Below are 17954 nucleotides of genomic sequence, written 5' to 3'. Positions count from 1 at the left end.
CAGAGCAAAAAGCTGTCTCAAAAAAAAAAAAAAAAAAAAAAAAAAAAAGAGGTTTAATTGGCTCGTGGTTCCATAGGCTGTACAGGAAGCATGGCTGGGCAGGTCTCAGGAAACAGAGAGACAGGGAGGTGCCACATACTTTTAAACAGCCAGATGTCATAAGAACTCAGTCACTGTAACGAGAACAGCAAGGGGGAAATTCGCTCCGATGATCCAGTCACCTCTCACCAGGCCCCTCCTCCAACACTGGGGTTTACAATTGGAAATTTTCTCAGGGACACAAATCCAAGACCTATCACATTGTAAGTTGCATACATCTTACCCTTTACCCCTAAATATTTCAGTATTTCCTAAGAAATAGGATGTTCTGTTTCCTACCCCCAGTATAGTTATCGATGTTGGTAAATTGAACAGAAACATGGAATTTTATTTAATCTACTGTCTGTATTTCATTTGTGTCAATTTAGCCAGAAATGTTCTTTATAGCATTCTTTTCTTTCAGTACATGTTCCAGTCTAGAACCTCATACTATATTTAGTTATTATATGTCCTTAGTCTCCTTGAATCTATAAAGGTTCCCCAGCATTTCTGTGCCTATTATGACATCAACATTTTTGAAGAATGCAGTTGATGGACCGTTTTTACAGTTCCTTCTCTCACCTAGAAATTCTCTCTTAGGAGCTGATCAAAATCAAACTAAGAAATTTTTTACACATGTGAGTCTTGGGGACTTCAGGGTCATTCAAGGCAGAATCAGGCCATAAATAGTAATGCCAGAGATGACAGGATGTGTAGAGGGACAGGGGAAAAATCTTACAGTGAAAGAAGAGTAGGGGAGTCTTGAAGTATAAGTCCTTTGGGGGTCAGAGGACTTTAGAGAAGCTGATGTTGTAAAAGAAAACAGACTTGTCACCTCTGGCAAAGCCTCAACATATGGGTATGTATCCGTCAGGGTTCAGCCAGAGAAGCAGAACAACTGGAAGATAATTAGAATTATCAGGTAAGTGAAGAAATCAAACTAAAGAAAGGATAGAGTTTCATTTCAGCAGCTTAAAATTTTATATCACAAAGCTGATAATGTTACAACTTAATTATATACCAGACTAATATTCAGAACTAAAGCAGATATATATATGTTCTGCTTTAGTCATATATATGTGATTTTAAAATATAAATATATATTCATATATTTAAATGTTTATATGATAAAATACCTAGATATAAACTTATACAAAATATATTTAAAAATTTTACCAAAAATTACTAATTTTAAGAATTATTTAAGCTGGTGTGGTGGCTCACACCTGTAATCCCAGCACCTTGGAGGCTGAGGCGGGTAGACCACCTGATGTAAGGATTTTGAGACCACCCTGGCCAACATGGTGAAACCCTGTCTCTACTAAAAATACAAAAATTAGCTGGGCATGGTGATGCACAACTGTAGTCCCAGCTACTCAGGAGGCTGAGGCAAGAGAATCGAATGAATCCAGGAGATGGAGGTTGCAGTGAGTCGAGATCATGCCACTGCACTCCAGGTTGGAGGACAGAACAAGACTCTGTCTTGACAACAACAACAATAAGAGTTATTGAGAGGCCAATAAGAATTTTGGTGAAAAAACTAAAAAGGGAAAAATTAGGAAACCATTTATAGAGGAAATATCCATAGATGTAATTCAAAACAAACAAAAAATATTGCTCTACAGAATTCCTACTGCTCCCTTAAGTGTTTGGATATGCAAAACAGAGGCCTCACCGATTCTCCATATAAAGATGGGTTTAAGTGTTTAGATTGGGTATGGTCATGGGAGAGTTGAGTTGCTCTGTATGAAAATGAAAAGAATAGGCCGGGTATGGTGGTTCATGCCTGTAATCCCAGCATTTTGGGAGGCTGAGGCAGGCAGATCACCTGAGATCAGGAGTTCGAGACCAGCCTGGCCAATATAGTGAAACCCCATCTCTACTAAAAATACAAAAATTAGCCAGGCGTGGTGGTACATGCATATAGTTCCAGCTACTAGGAGGCTGAGGCAGGAGAATTGCTTGAACCCAAAAGGCGGAGGTTGCAGTAAGCCGAGATCGTGCCACTGCACTCCAGCCTGGGTGACAGAGTGAGACTCCATTTCAAAAAATAAAAAATTACATGAAAATGAAAAAAATAATTTAAAATATTTGGGGGAATACCAAGACAGAGCAGCACAAACCAGCAGAGTGGAGCACTGCATAGGTAGAAAGGGGAGATTTTAGGTCCCTTAGGACAGGTGGCTGTTTTTTCAAACGCCTTCTTAAAATCACAAGGCACACAAAGAAACAGGAAAATACGGCCTGATCAAAGTCAACAAAATAAATCTCCAAAAACCAACTCTAAAGAAACACAGGTTTCAGGCTTACTAAACAAAGACTTTAAAACAATGGTCTTTATTAAATATACTCAATGAGACACTGAATTAAAGGAAGCAGGAAAACAATACATGAACAAAATAGGATATCAGCAAAGAGACAAATTATTTTTAAAAAGAACCATACAGACATCCTAGAGTTGAAAAATAAGCTAACTGAATTGGAAAATTAACTAGAGGGGTTCAAAATCAGAATTGAATGGGCAGAAGAATCAGTGAACTTGAAGAAACATCATTTGAAATTATCAAGTCTGAGAAGCAAAAAGAAAAAAACAATGAAGAAAAGTGAACAGAGCCTAGGGAGCATATGGAACAACATCAAGTGGACCAAGTTATAAGCTATTGGAATTCCAGAAAGAAAAGAGAGAGACAGAGAGAAACACAGAGGGAAAAAAATAGACTTTTTTTTCTTTTTTAAATTAAGATGGAGTCTCACTCTGTCATCCAGACTGGAGTGCAGTGGCGTGATCTCGGCTCACTGCAACTTCCACCTCCCAGGTTCAAGCAATTCTCGTGTCTCAGCCTCCCAAGCAGCTGGGACTATGGGTGCGTGCCACCACACCCAGCTAAGTTTTTTTTTGTATTTTTTAGTAGAGAAGGGGTTTTGCCATGTTGGCCAGGTTGGTCTCGAACTCTTGACCTCAGGTGATCCACCTGCCTTGGCCTCCCAAAGTGTGGGATTACAGGCGTGAGCCACCACTCCCAGCCTAAAAATAGACACTAAGTAAAAATAAAACTGTTACAAGAAACAGGAGAATATTATATAATGGTGAAAGGGTCAATTCACCAAGAAGATATAACAATTAAAAACATTTATGCAATAAATATTAGAGCCTAAATATACATAGCAAACATTGACAGAATTGAAGACAGAAATAGACAACTTGAAAAAATAGTAGGAGACTTCAGTACTACCCTTTCAATAACGGATAGAACAACTAGACAGAAGATCAATAAGGAAATACAAGAACTTGAACAACACTATAGACGAAATGGCCCTAACAGACATAAACAACACAATCCACCTAACAATAGAATATACTTTTTTTAAAGTGCATTATGAAACATTCTCCAGGATAGAGGATGTGTTAGGCCACAAAACAAGTCTTAATGAATTTTAAAAGATTAAAATCATACAAAATATTGTTTCCAATCACAATGGAAAGAAACCAATAGCAAAAGTTGTGCTGAAAAATCCACAAATACATGAAAATTAAACAACACATTCCTTAATCCCAGATACTCAGGAGGCTGAAGTGGAAGGATCACTTGAGCCCAGGCATTTGAGGCTGCAGTGAGCTTTGATCATGCCACTGCACTCCAACTTGGATGATGGAGCAAGAGCTCATCTCTAAAGAAAACAAAAGAGAGAACAAAACAATACACTCTCAAATAACAATGGGTCAAAAGAAAAAAATCACAAGGGAAATTAGAAAATATCTTCAGACAAATGAAAATAAAAACAAATGTACCAAAATGTGTGGGATGCAGCAAACATAGTACTAAAAAGGAAATTTACAGCTGTAATTGCTTGCATACCAAATAAGAACCCAAATCAACAATGTAACTTTACACCTTAAGGAACTAGAAAAATAAAAAATGAAACTGAAACCTCGCAGAGGAAAAGAAATAATGAAGATTTGAGCAAAGATCAACAAAATAGAGAATAGAAAACAACTTTTAAAATTAAAAAACAAGAGTTGGTTCTTCCATAAGATCAGCAAAACTGCCAACTGACTAAGAAAATAAGAGAGAAGTCTCAAATAACTAAAATCAGAAATGAAAGGAGATATTGCTGCTGCTTTTACAGAAATAAAAAGGATCATAAGCTAGTAATGTGAATACCTATATGATGAAAAATTAGATAACTAGATGAAATGAATAAAATCCTAGAAATACACAATCTACCAAGAGTGAATCTGGAGAAACAGAAAACTGGAATAGACTACAATTAATAAGGAGATTGAATCTATAGCCAAAAACCTTTCAACAACAACCAAAAAAAAAAAAAACAAAACCCTAGAATAAGATGGTTTCACTAGTAAATTCTACCAAACATTTATAGAAAAATTAACAGCAATCCTCCTAAACTGTTAAAAAGACTGAAGAGAGGACACCCCCCACTTATTCTATAAGGCCAGCATTACCCTAATATAAAAGCCAAACAAATACACTACAAGAAAAGAAAACCACACAGACCAGTATCCCTGGTAAACACTGAAGTGAAAATCCTTAACAAAATACTAGCCAACAGAATTCAACAATGCTTTAAAATTACTACATACCACGACCAAGTGGGATTTATTTCTGGAATGCAAGGATGATTTAACATACAAAAAACAATGAATGCGGCCAGGTGCAGTGGCTCATGCCTGTAATCCCAACGCTTTGGGAGGCCAAGGTGGGCGGATCACCTGAGGTCAGGAGTTTGAGACCAGCCTGGCCAACATGGTGAAACCCTGTCTCTACTAAAAACACAAAAATTAGCCGGGAGTGATGGCGGGCACCTGTAATCCCAGCTACTCGAGAGGCTGAGGCACGAGAATCTGAATCCAGGAGATGGAGGTTGCAGTGAATTGAGATCGCGCCAGTGCACTCCAGCCTGAGTCACAGAGTGAGACTCCCATCTCGAAAAAAAAAATGCATTTCTCCACATAAATAGAATTAAACACAAAACCACATGATCATCTCAATTGATTCAGAAAGAACGTTTGACAAAATTCAACATATTTTCATGATAAAAAGTACCCAGCAAACTAGAAATAAAAGAGAACTACCTCAATATAATAAAGGCCATATATGTAAAGCTTACAGCTAACATGTTAAATGGTTAAAGACCAAAAGGTCTAGGATCACAAACAAGAATAAAGATGCCTGCTTTTGCCACTTCTATTCAACATAGTACTGGAAGTCCTAACTGGAGCAAGCAGGTAAGAAAAAGAAATAAAAAGCATCTAAATTGGAAAAAAAAACACATAAAATTATCTCTCTTCTCAGATTACACATTTAATGTAGGAAACCCTGAAGAGTCCACTAAAAAACAAACAAACAAACAAACAAAAACTGTTAGAACAATCACTAATCATTAGGAAAATGCAAATCAGGCCAGGCATGGTGGCTCATACCTACAATCTCAGTACTTTGGGAGGCCGAAGTGAGAGGATGGCTTGAGCCCAGGAGTTCAAGACCAGCCTGGGCAACAGGGTAAAACCCGGTCTCTACCAAAAATACAAAAATTAGCTGGGTGGGGTGGTGCGTGCCTGAAGTCCAGCTACTCAGGAGGCTGAGGTAGGAAAAGCACCTGAGCCTGGGAAGTCAAGGCTGCGGTGAGCTATGATTGTGCCACTGCACTCCAGCCTGGGCAACGGGAGAGAGACCCTGTCTCAAAAAAAAAAAAAAAAAGCAAAAATTAAAATTGAAATGATAATGAGATGCTACTTCATACCCATTATGATGGCTACTATTTAAAAAATGAGCAGAAAATAAAAAGTGTTGGCAAGGGTGTGTAGAAATTGAAACCATTGTGCACTATTGGTGGGAATGGAAAATGGTGAAGTCACATTGGAAAACAGTATGGCAGTTTCCCAAAAAGTTAAAAATAGAATTACCATATGATAAAGCAATTCTGTTTTGGGGTATAGACCCAAAAAGAATTGAAAAGCAGGGTCTCAAGGAGATCGCCATATACCCATGTTCACAGCAGCATTATTCACAATAGGGAAAAGATGGAAGAAATCCAAGTGTTCAGTGACAGATGAATGGGTAAACAAGATGTGATAAATACATATAATAGAATATTATTCAGCTTTAAAAAGAAATTCTGACACATGCTACAACATGAGTTTGAACTTTGAACACATTTTGCAAAGTGAAATAAACCAGTTACAAAAACAGAAATGCTGTATAATTCCACTTATATGAGATTTCTAGAATAGTCTAATTCATAGAAACAGAAAGTAGAATAGTGGTTGCCAGAGGCTGAGGGAAGGGGAGAATTCCAGGGAGTTACTGTTTAATGGGTATTGAGTTTGAGTTCAGCAAGATAAACAGTGTTCTGGAGACAGATGGTGGTGATGGTTGCAGAACAATGTGAATGTACTTTGTAAACCAAAAATAAAATTCTAACCACCTCCTGCCCCACCATCTGAATGGACTTCTCTTGGCAAGAGCATTCCAAGGCTAACCAGGGGGACTGGTTCTGACCATAATGGGAGGCAGGGAGCAGACATGTCTCATTATGCCCTCTTCCCTTTCAAAATTACTGAATAGAACAGACTGTTGAAGTCTGATGAAAAACATTTACAATCTGTTCTCTCTGAAGCCTGGTACCTGGAAGCTTCATCTGCATGATAAAACTTTGGTCTCCACAACTCCTAATCATCACAACCCAGAGGTTCCTTTCTACTGATTCCAGGTCTTTAGATAATAACATAACTCTTTCGACCAATTGCCAAATAGAAATTTTTTTAATCTACCTATAACCTGGAAGCGCCCCCTCCTTCAAGTTGTCTGGCCTTTCCAGACTGAACCAATGTACATTTTACATGTACTTTATTGATATCTCATGTCTCCCTAAAATGTATAAAACTAGGCCATGCCCCAACCACCTTGGGCACATTATTAATAGAGACAGGAGGCAGAGAAATCATAGTCAGATAGGGTGGGTCCCTGGTGAAACCCCACCTTCCAGCCCAAAACAGCCTGAAACTCACAGAGCAGAGTGAGACCTTCTATTCCTGTTTGCCTGCTCTCTCCCAATTGGATCTTTCTGAATAATGCCTTTTAACCAAACAAATGTTGCTTTTTCCTGTACTACCTACAGCCTGTGCCACCCCCATCATGTGTCTCTAAAGACCCCAGACTCAGTCAGTAGAGGGGAGATGGCCTGACTTTGGGGAGGAGACAGCCTGACTTCAGGGAAGAAATGGCCTGACTTCGGGACAAAGACCTCCTGACTTCAGGGGAAGACAACGAGCGGCCCTTCCCATCCCCTCTCCAACTCCCCTCTCCGCTGAGAGCTGTTTTCATCACTCAATAAAATTCTCTGCCCCCACCGTCCTTCAATCGGCAAGTGTGACCTCATTCTTCTTGGACGCTGGATAAGAGCTCAGGCCCCACCAAGTGTGGGTACCCAGAAGGGTTGTCACACTGGCCCTTTGCCCTCGCTGGCAGAGTGCAGCCACCCCACGCAACAGGGCCAGGGGCCGACTGAGCCGCTAACAATCTGTGGTCCATCAGGCTGTGGGCAGCAGAACTAAAAGAGCTAATTAGCACATGAACACAGCCTCTGGGGCTTCAGGGTCACAGGCACCCTTGTCTGGGTGCCACGGCATTCCCCTCAAGGCAACATGCCTGGTCTGGCCATGGGTGCTGCGTAGAGCTTGCTCCCGTATCAGCACCCAGAGCAGCCAGCCGGATCCCGCATTCACTCACCCACTCACGTACTCCCTCCCACAAGAGGGCTGAGTGCGGCAGGCCAAGTAGATGGGGCACCCCTGCCGTGAGTCCAGCAAAGGGGCGGAGAAAAATCCTGCATCATTGTCGGAACTTGCTGAGGCTGTTTAACCTTGGCAAAATAAACTTTCCACGTTGATTGAGATCTGTCTCAAATACTTTGGATTCACAACTTAACACCACTTAACTGTACACTTAAAAATGGTTAAGATGGTAAAACTTATGTTGTGTGTATTTTATGACAATTTTAAAACTAAGAAAAAAAATACATACTAAATTGTTAACAGTGGTTACCACTGAAGAAAAAGACAAGGGGAGAAGGAAACACTTTCGGTTTTCACAATTCTAAATTGTTGGAACTGTTTTTATAATTAATAAACCTTGTATTAGGGAAACAATTTTAAACATAGAAAAATTTCATGTACAAAATTATTCCCTACAGTATTAGTTAACAGTGATAAATTAGAAGCAACCTAAAAGTCCTCCTATTGCAAAGTAATGGTTATGTAAACCATAGCATGTCCACTTAATTAAATGTCATATAGCCATCAAAATCCTCAAAACAGTAAAGGGAGGTTCATATGACAGGATATATAAATGTTACTTTGCAGCTCGGTTTTTAAAAAGGATAGAAAACCAGCTAAATGGAAAGACACCAAAATGTAAAACATAATTGTGATTGGATAATGGCTGTTTATTTCCTTCTTCCTTTCTGTATTTTCCAATTTTAAAAATACAGACAGGTATTACTTTATTATAAACTGTATTTTAAAAAATGTTAGAAGATAGAAACAAATTGAACAAAACTGCAGGATACAAAATCAAAACACAAAAATCAGTTGGGTTTCTAAACACCAACAATGCACAATTTGAAAAGGAAATTAAGAAAACAATTCCATTTGCATAGCATCAGGAAGATGCAAACACTTAGGAATAAGGTAAACCAAGGAAGCAAAAGACACACTGAAAACTACAAAATGTATTTTAAAGAAATTAAAGAAGACACCAATAAACGGGAAGACATCCTGTGTTCATGGATTGGATAACTTAATATTGTTAAGGTGTCAATACCACCGAAAGTGATACACAAATATAATGAAATCCCTGTCCCAACCTCAATGACTATTTTTGTAGATTTTTTTTAGATACTAAAATTCATAGGCAATCCCAAGGGACCCCAAATAGCCAAAACAATCTTGTAAAAATAACAACGTGGGAGATCCCATATTTCCTGATTTCAAAACTTACTGTACAGTAACCAAAACAGTGTCATGCAAGCATAAAGACAGACATGTAGAACAATGAAATAGAATAGAGAGCCAAAAATAAACCATTGCTTATACAGTCTAATGATTTTTGACAAAAGTGTCAAGACCATTCAAAGGGGAATGGGCAGTCTTTTCAACAGTGGTGTTGGAAAAGCTGGATATCCACATGAAAAATAATGAAGTTGGACTCTTATCTTATACCATAAACAAAAATTAACTAAGAATAAATCAAAGACCTAAATATAAATCTTGGAAGAAACTTAAACTCTTAGAAGAAAACATAGGAGGAATACTTCATGACATTGGATTTGGCAACGATTTCTTATACATGACACCAACAACACAGGTAGCAAAAGAAAAAGATAGACTACATCAAAATTTAAAACTTCTGGGTATCAAAGAACAAAATCAACAGAGTGAAATAGGAACACATAAAACAGAAGAAAATATTTGCAAATCATATATCTGATAAAGGATTAATAGCCAGAATATATATAGAAATCCTACAACTCACCAATGACAACAACAACAAAAAAATCAGATTTAAAAAATAGGCCAAGGCCAGGCGTGGTGGCTCACACCTGTAATCCCAGCACTTTGGGAGGCCAAGGGAGTGGATCACCTGAGGTCAGGAGTTCAAGACAAGCCTGGCCAACATGGGGAAACCCGTCTCTAAATAAATAAACAAATAAACAATCAGCCAGGTGTGGTGGCGGGCACCTGTAATCCCAGCTACTCAGGAGGCTGAGGCAGGAGAATCACTTGAACCCAGGAGGTAGAGGTTGCAGTGAGCCAAGATGGCGCCATTTTACTCCAGCTGGGCAACAGAGTGGGACTCCATCTCAAAAAAAAAAAAAAAAAAAATAGGCCAGGCATGGTGGCTCACGCCTGTAATCCCGGCACTTTCGGAGGCTGAGGCGGGTGGATCACCTGAGATCAGGAGTTCAAGACCAGCCTGGCCAATGTGGTAAAACCCCATCTCTACTAAAAATTAAAAAAAAAAAAAAATTAGCCAGCCGTGGTGGCAGACGCCTGTAATTCCAGCTACTTGGGAGGCTGAGGCAGGAGAAATGCTTGAATCGAGGAGGCAGAGGTTGCAGTGAGCCAAGATCGTGCCATTGCACTCCAACTTGGGCAACAAGCAAAACTCCATCTCAAAATTAAAAAAAATAAAAAAATAGAACTTGGACATTCCTCCAAAAAGATATACAGATGCCCAGTAAACACATGAAAAGATGCTCAACATTACCAGTGATTATGAGAAAGCAAATCAAAACCATAATGAGGTACCACCTTACACCCATTAGGATAGCTATTATCAAAAAAGAAAAACAAAAGAAAAAAGCAAATGTTGGCAAGGATGTGGAGAAATTGGAGCCCTTGTGCCCCGTTGGTGGGAATGTGAAATGGGGCATTTGCTATGGCAAACAGCATGGCAGTCTCTCAAAAAATTCAAAATAGAATTATCATATGATCTACCAATTTCTTTCTTCTTCTTTTTGAGACAGTCTTGTTCTGTCACCCAGGCTGGAATGCAGAGGCGCCATCTTGGCTCACTGCAGCCTCCGCCTCCCGGGCTCAAGCAATTCTCCTGCCTCAGCCTCCTGAGTAACTGAGATTACAGGCGCCCACCACCACACTCAGCTAATTTTTGTATTTTTCAGTAGAGACGGGGTTTCATCATGTCGGCCAGGCTGGTCTTGAACTCCTAACCTCAAGTGATCCACCTGCCTCAGCCTCCCAAAGTGCTGGGATTACAGGCGTGAGCCACCATGCCCAGCCATTGATCTAGCAATTTCACTTAAGGAGATATACCCAAAAGAATTAAAAGCAGGGTCTCAAAAAGGTATTCATACACCCAAGTCCATAGCCAAAAGGTGGAAGCAACCCAAGAGTTCAAGAGATGAACAGATAAACCAAATGTGGCATAGACCTACAATGGAATATTCTTCAGCCTTAAGAAAATTCTGACACATGCTACAACATGAACCTCAAGGCTGTCACGCTAAGTGAACCTTGAAGACATTATGTTAAGTGAAATAAGGCAGTACCAAAAGGATGAATACTATATAGTTCTTCAAATTCATAGAGTCAGAAAGTAAAATGGTAGTTGCCAGGGCCTGCAGGTAAGGAGGAATAGATGAGTTATTGTTTAATGGGTACAAAGTTTTATTTTTTGCAAAATGAAAAGTTTGAGAGAGAATAGTGGCCATGGTTTCTCAACAGTGAGAATGTACTTAATGCCACTAAACTGTACACATAATAAAACAGCTAAAATGGTAAATAAGGAAAAATCAACTGTTTTTCCTCTTAATGCTTCATTTCTGTCAGCAGATATATAGGGGTGGGGGTTCCCCCCAACAATCAATTCTCCAACACGAACCAATTCTCTGATACCTACCATTCAATTTAATTCTGACACTAAAGAGTTAGCACAAACCCCAAGGGTTAAGGACACAGTCCCACAAGACTGCTCCACTTCAGATGCCAATCACAAGTCCCACATTGTCACCTGTACTTCTGACCAGCTGGCTATAAAATCTGGGCTTCCACAGTCCCATCCTCAGGTTCAATAATTTGCTAAGACAGCTCATAGAATTCAGAAAAACACTTACCCACATTTACGGGCTTATCTTATAATAAACGATGTGTGATAAAGGACACGAATAAATAGCCATATGAAGAGAGACATAGGGCAAGGTCTGGAAGGGTCCCGAGAACAAGAGTCTGTCCCCATGGAGTTGAGGTGCACCACCCTCCCAGCATGTGGATACATTCACCAACCTGGAAGCTCTCTGAACTCTTTTAATTCAGGGATTTTTATAGAGGCTTCGGATACCGAACCAGGCTTACTCTTCCCCCTTGTTCAGTAAGCCAATCACTGAAATGACAAGTTTTGCCATAGAGAAAACACTTTATTTGCAGGGCGGCCCAGCGAGGGGATGGGAGAACAGCTCTGGAATCTACCTCCCTGAATACAGGGCTCGAGGACATTCATGGGATAAAGAAGTGGGGTGGTCTAAGGCATGGGGAAAGGTGACTGGAGGTGGGAAAAATGAGGAAATCGGTGGTCTGCACAAGCATAGCCAGGGTTCTTGGCAGTTTAGAGGACACATATTCAGAAAATGGCAGTGTTAGCATGAGCTGAGGGAGGAATTTTTGGCCCTTTGACATCTCGCACACTTGTGCAGGCCCAGCCGAAGGGTCAGTGGTCTCAACTGGTTCAAACTGGACAAGAGCTTCCCCCTAGCTCCTGAGAAACAACTTTAAGCAGCCATTACCATAGTGACATGTATATTAGAAACGTTATCCGTAAGGAGCTAGTGGGAGTTTACTAAGATATTGTTTGGCTATGTGATTTTTAGCTATATAGGTTTTCAGGTCAACCAGAAGTCAGCGATGAAAAGCAAGCAAGGCAGGTTACATTTGGTGGGCTTAATCAGGCTAGCCCTCTATCTCACTTCATCACATAGGCACGATCCATTATTAACAGTCTCCAGTCCCTCCCTGCTTCCCAGAGAATGGGTGGTGGGGATGAAAATTTCAAGCTTCTAATCATCCCCTAATCTTTCTGGTGACCAACCTCTGTATAGGAGCCCATCAAGAGTCACCTCATTAAAACAAAAGACACCCCTATCACCCAGGAATGTTTAAGGGATTAAGAGCTCTGTCAGAGACTGATGCCAAAGACCAACTGTTACAACAAAAGATTCTCCTAGCACCTCTATTGCTCAGGAAATTACCAGGGTTTAAGGAGCTCTGTGCCAGGAACTGGGGACAAAGTCTAAAATATATATTTCTTATTATAAATCACAGTATCACAGGTGGTAAATTTTTGTTATGTATATTTTGCCACAAAATTTTTAAAACTTTCTTAAAAAAATACTTGCCATGGGGACCTCTCTCCCTTTTTGCCAATCTTAAAGTATCTTTAACAGAGGCCACATTGGTCACTAAAGCTTTCTTGTAAAAGTGGATGTTTTGGGGAGAACCTGAAAGCCGTGGCTGAACTCTATGTCTGCTTTACGCAAGGCAAAAACAGAAGCCAGAGTTGAAAACAAAGCAGGATGAGAGTATAATTCCCCAGGAATTAACAAAAATTCCTGGAATAACTCCAGACTTTCAAAGCTATAAAATTAGTAGGATCAAAGCTGACAATTTTTAAGGGCTAAAGCTGAATCGAGCTCTGGTTATACGAATAAGTAGAGAATTGCACTAAAATATATATTATGTGCTGAAAGGTTGGAGTTAGAAAATAGCAAGGCTCAGAGAAGAGTGGAGGGGTGCAGATGGTCCATGATGGGTGGTGAGATCTGCTAGGCTGGAGGGTAAGAGAGGTGCTTTTAGGTGCAGGCTCTTTCTTCTTTGTGTCCCCTCCACGAACCTCAAAAGACCATAGTGACTGTTCCATAGCTATGTGATCCAAGTCAGGAACTCAGCTAATGAACATTCTCAGTGCCCAGGTGCCTGAGGCAGGTGTGTGGTTCAGATGATGGAGAAATCTCTCTTTCTTCTGAGAAACTCTAGTAGCCCATGAGTGAGTTCAAGCTTGACTTTATGGGACATTTTTCTACTTTCCAGCTCATTTGTCATGTGGGGATCCTCTGTGTTGGGAACCGATGCTTGGTATCACAAAAATCAACACTGAGACAAAGTATCTCTCTGCAAGGCTAGTTTACTTTCTGCAGAAAGGGTGCCGCTCGCTAGCAGTCTCGCCATGAGAGCACACACGAACAAAGGAGACAGGGTCATTTATAACCTGAAGTGTCCACCCTTCTGCTGTGTCCAGTTTCCACTGGCTGGAACAGGACCTCACATTCTGTACTCTACCCGAATGGCTAGCAACTTAGAACTTCTCAAAAGAGGCAAACGCAGAGAAGAACAAAGGAAGAGAGGAAGTAACTTATGAAATGCTGAGAGAGGCAAAAACACTTCCAAATAAGGAAAAGGAGTAGGCTGTGACCTAATGCTTGCTTGGACTGGTTCAGGCATGCCAGGGCAAATATCTAGGCTAAAATGTAAGAGCTAAGAACAGAGTATATTGATTTCTTTATTACGGCTAACAGAATTTAAGAATATCAGCACAGGTCTCTGAGTAAATTTTGCTTCTAAGAGAGGTTACTATCTATTCTTAATTAGACTGGGAGGAAAGTCCCTTTGAAGAGGAACCTGTATTTATTTAATTTTCTACACTCTGTTTCTCCACTCCCTCCAGAGGAATCTGCTTCTATCAATATTGGGTAGGTGATCCCTAGACTTAGCCTCCAAAATGAACTGATTCTTGTTGTCTGTTCCTCTTCCCACTTTACTAAATCATTTACAGAGATGCCTCAAAGGGGAACGCACAAGGTACAGCAGAACATCACCCTTCTAGGGGAACAGGATAGAATGAGGAGGAGTCAGAATGGCAACTAGAGCTTTGTTTCAAAGCCCACAGTCAAATCCAGAGGCTGTATAGAGAGAGGACTCTGTCTCAAAATCTCTGGTGTCTGAGATTCTGGATTGGATAATTAAGAAAGTTCAGGGTACTTGCAGCAGAACAGAATCCCACAATACTTGCTTCTCAGTTACCTTCCCATATGGAGTCTTGGTCTTTGGGCCAAGCCTTTGTGTCAGGGTTAATCTGGAAAGAAATTCTCATCCTGCAAAACTCTCTCAGCAGATTCCAAAAACTCACTCTGACCTTGGAGACCAGAATCCTACCTGCTGGAGCAAATTGCATCTCGAGTTTTGAGAATCAGCACCCTTATTAAGCAGAGAATGACTGAAAGATCATTGAGGATCACATATCAAAGGCACTTTATTTGAAATTTTCAAAGAATCAACAGAAAATATTTTTATCTACTTTAAATGAATGACAGAAAAGAACACAGAGACCCATGAATTCAATGAAAAAGACATATTATTCATGAATAATGAACGACTGCTGTAGCCCAGAGAAATGATGGTAAGAACTGATTCCCAGCCTTTCATTCTTGTCTTTTAGTGTCAACAGAGTAAAGAAAAGTGATGGCCTCACCTGACCCTACACTGTCTCGTGACATCAAGCTCTCACCAAATGTGACCCACCCCTTGGATCCCTGATTCATTCACCTGGCACCCTCCACTTTTAAAGTATTCTATCCTACCACTGCCAGACTCCACCTTAAGTCCCAATCTGGTGTGATTTCCACATGACTGAACACCATTCCAGAGAGCTCATCTCTAGCTGGCACCCCTGGTTGGCCTCCTCTGTTCTAACATTCCTAAGCATGGACCACTCATACCTGCATGTTTCACATTTCCCTGAGGGCTGGCATCTCGTACCTCCTCCACCAGGTTTTTGAGCAAGAGCTTCTTTCACTTCAACCCCCTCTGGGGAGACTCTGTAAGCAGGCCTATGGGAACAAACAGCATCTTTGTCCTCACCCTTTACATCCAAGTACATCTGAAGATATCTGTTATAAAGAGAGTGGATTTCTAAACTTTGGAAATTGGAAATTTCCTTAGTCCAATAATCCTTTAGGGGCACTATGGGTCATCCTGGCTGTATCCCCATCTCTTCAGATTGCCCACTAACCTAGATCAATGGGCCTACTAAAGCAGCTTTTGTTCTAATAACTGAGTTTTTGGTACATTTCTTATCTCCAAGCACCCACCTTGCAGACCAGTGGAAGTGACTAAGATGCTTCTCTCTCCTGAGTGTGAGACTTTGCCCCAGTTCCCTTTCTCATAATCCAAATCTTACAGGACTGGGATCTGTCTTGTCTCAGTCCTGATTTCTTTTCAAAACCCGGATTCTGTTTCTACTGGCCGGGCACGGTGGCTCACACCTGTAATCCCAGCACTTTGGGAGGCTGAGGCAGGTGGATCACCTGAGGTCAGGAGTTTGAGACCAGCCTGGCCAATACAATGAAACCCCATCTCTACTAAAAATACAAAAATTAGCCAGGCATGGTGGTTTGTTCCTGTAGTCCTGGTTACTTGGGAGGCTGAAGCAAGAGAATCGCATGAACCTGGGGAGGCAGAGGTTTCAGTGAGCCGAGATCTCACCACTGCGCGATCGCCAGCCTTGGCGACAGAGAGAGACTCTGTCTCAAAAACAAAAACAAAACTGGATTCTGTTTCTAAATGACAACTCTTTTTGTCAGTATTATTACTGTTTTTTTTGTTTGTTTGTTTTTTGTTTTTTTTTTCACTAAACTGATTTTGCCACTACTGTGAGTTTTTGGACTTTCTAATGTCTTGTTTCTCCGGGCTGCTGGAGATTTGCCTATGGCTGAAAAGTTCTCCTATGAATGTTAATGTTATTTCATGTATCCAATGACCTGCTCTTCTAGTATTGCTTCTGGCAACCGTTTGAAGGAAAAAATGACCAAAAATCATTACCCAAACTTATTAATCTAGGGAGATGGAGGAAACCCAGCATAGAGCCAGGCTTTAGGGAAAATAAAGCCCTGGAATTTCTCCAAAAGAACATACACCACTTCCATCCACATCCCAGGCGCCCTCAGTATCCAGGCACAGGCCTCCATTCAAATGCAAGGTAGTCTGGGAAATGTAATCTTCCTCTGCTGGAAAAGGAAAATGGCACTGTATACTTACTCTACCACACTTACTTATCAGGTCATTCATTGAGAATAATGACGTTGCTTTACAGGTCAAAAAGAATAAGAAACTAGATAAGAAACTAGAAACAGAAGCAGTCATGTCTCAACTTCAGTACTGAACTTAGTCTCATCTTTTGTTGTTGTTGTTCCAAATATTATGAAAATCCCAGGTCGCAAAGAATAGCAGTACTTAAAAGGCTAGCAGTACTTAAAAGCTTGCTTTACAATGTCAGGATCCTCTTTAATCACACAGAGATAGGAGGAGAAACTTTAGTGTCAAGCATCTACCCAGCCTAGTTAGAGGTATAGGAAACTGTGCTAGCCATCTCCAAAATGTTAATATTTAGCATGCAACGTATCTGAAGATTCACACTGCATTAATTATGGTGCTTACTTGAATGTTATTTCAAATATGAAATTCAAGTAAAATGTCTGTGGAGGCCTCTGCTTTGGAGATCCGCGCACCAAGTGACCTTTGAGCTTTACAGTCCATACCCCTAAGTGGACTCCTGTTGTATGTCCCTGGGGAAGATGTTTCCCTAATTAGGCGTGAGTTAAAGATGGCTTGTCTAATTCATAGGACTTTACCAGACCAAAAAAAAAAAAAAAAGATAGATTCTGTACTGAGCCAAAGACATATGTGACTAGGTTGACTGCCTACAATTTTAAAAGCTGCTGTTTCTATAGGTCAAACATAGCTGAGTATCTGTGATTTTTAGTATAATATAAGCTAATATATTAAAACCGAAAACCCATAGCCCTTTCCTAGACATGTTTAGGAAGAAAACAGACATGTTTTGTTTTAAAACATTTACAAATTGAGCTACTTCACCTGCAGACAAACAAACTTCTATTCTCTTTTTAAAAAAATAGTTCCTGGAAAAAAATAGGAGAAAATCTTTGTGACCTTGGGTTTGGCAAAGATTTTACAGATATGATACCAAAAGTGTGATCCATAAAATTATGAAAATTTAACAAGCTGGAATTCATCAAAATTAATTACTTCTGCTCATCCAAACATATTGTTAAGAGAATGAATATGTAGACTGAATAAGTTCCAGGGTTCTATACCACTGTAGGATGACTATAGTTAATAATACATAGCTTTGAATAGCTAGAAGTATACTGAATGTTCCCAACACAAAGATATGATAAATGTTTAAGATGAGGGATATGCTAATTACCCTGATCTGATCATTATACATGATATGTATCGAAGCATCACTGTGTACTCTATGAATATATAC

The 17954-nt window shown here is 40.1% G+C and overlaps 1 long non-coding RNA gene across 2 annotated transcripts; it reads left to right on the top strand.

The window, feature by feature from the left end:
- Positions 1 to 653: 653 nt before the first annotated feature.
- On the top strand, positions 654 to 15711 carry LOC105377753 (uncharacterized). Of its 2 annotated transcripts, none has more exons than NR_188272.1 (2): positions 654 to 1000; positions 15105 to 15711. It is a non-coding gene; the product is annotated as an uncharacterized LOC105377753 (long non-coding RNA). The 2 variants fall into 2 exon arrangements; NR_188271.1 differs by lacking the exon at positions 15105 to 15711 and adding an exon at positions 7219 to 7288.
- Positions 15712 to 17954: the final 2243 nt, after the last annotated feature.

The sequence above is a fragment of the Homo sapiens genome, chromosome 5 (assembly GCF_000001405.40).
Source record: "Homo sapiens chromosome 5, GRCh38.p14 Primary Assembly".
Taxonomy (NCBI): Eukaryota; Metazoa; Chordata; class Mammalia; order Primates; family Hominidae; genus Homo; species Homo sapiens.
The sequence above is the reverse complement of the archived record's forward strand: the minus strand, read 5'-3'. Positions and strand labels throughout refer to the sequence as shown.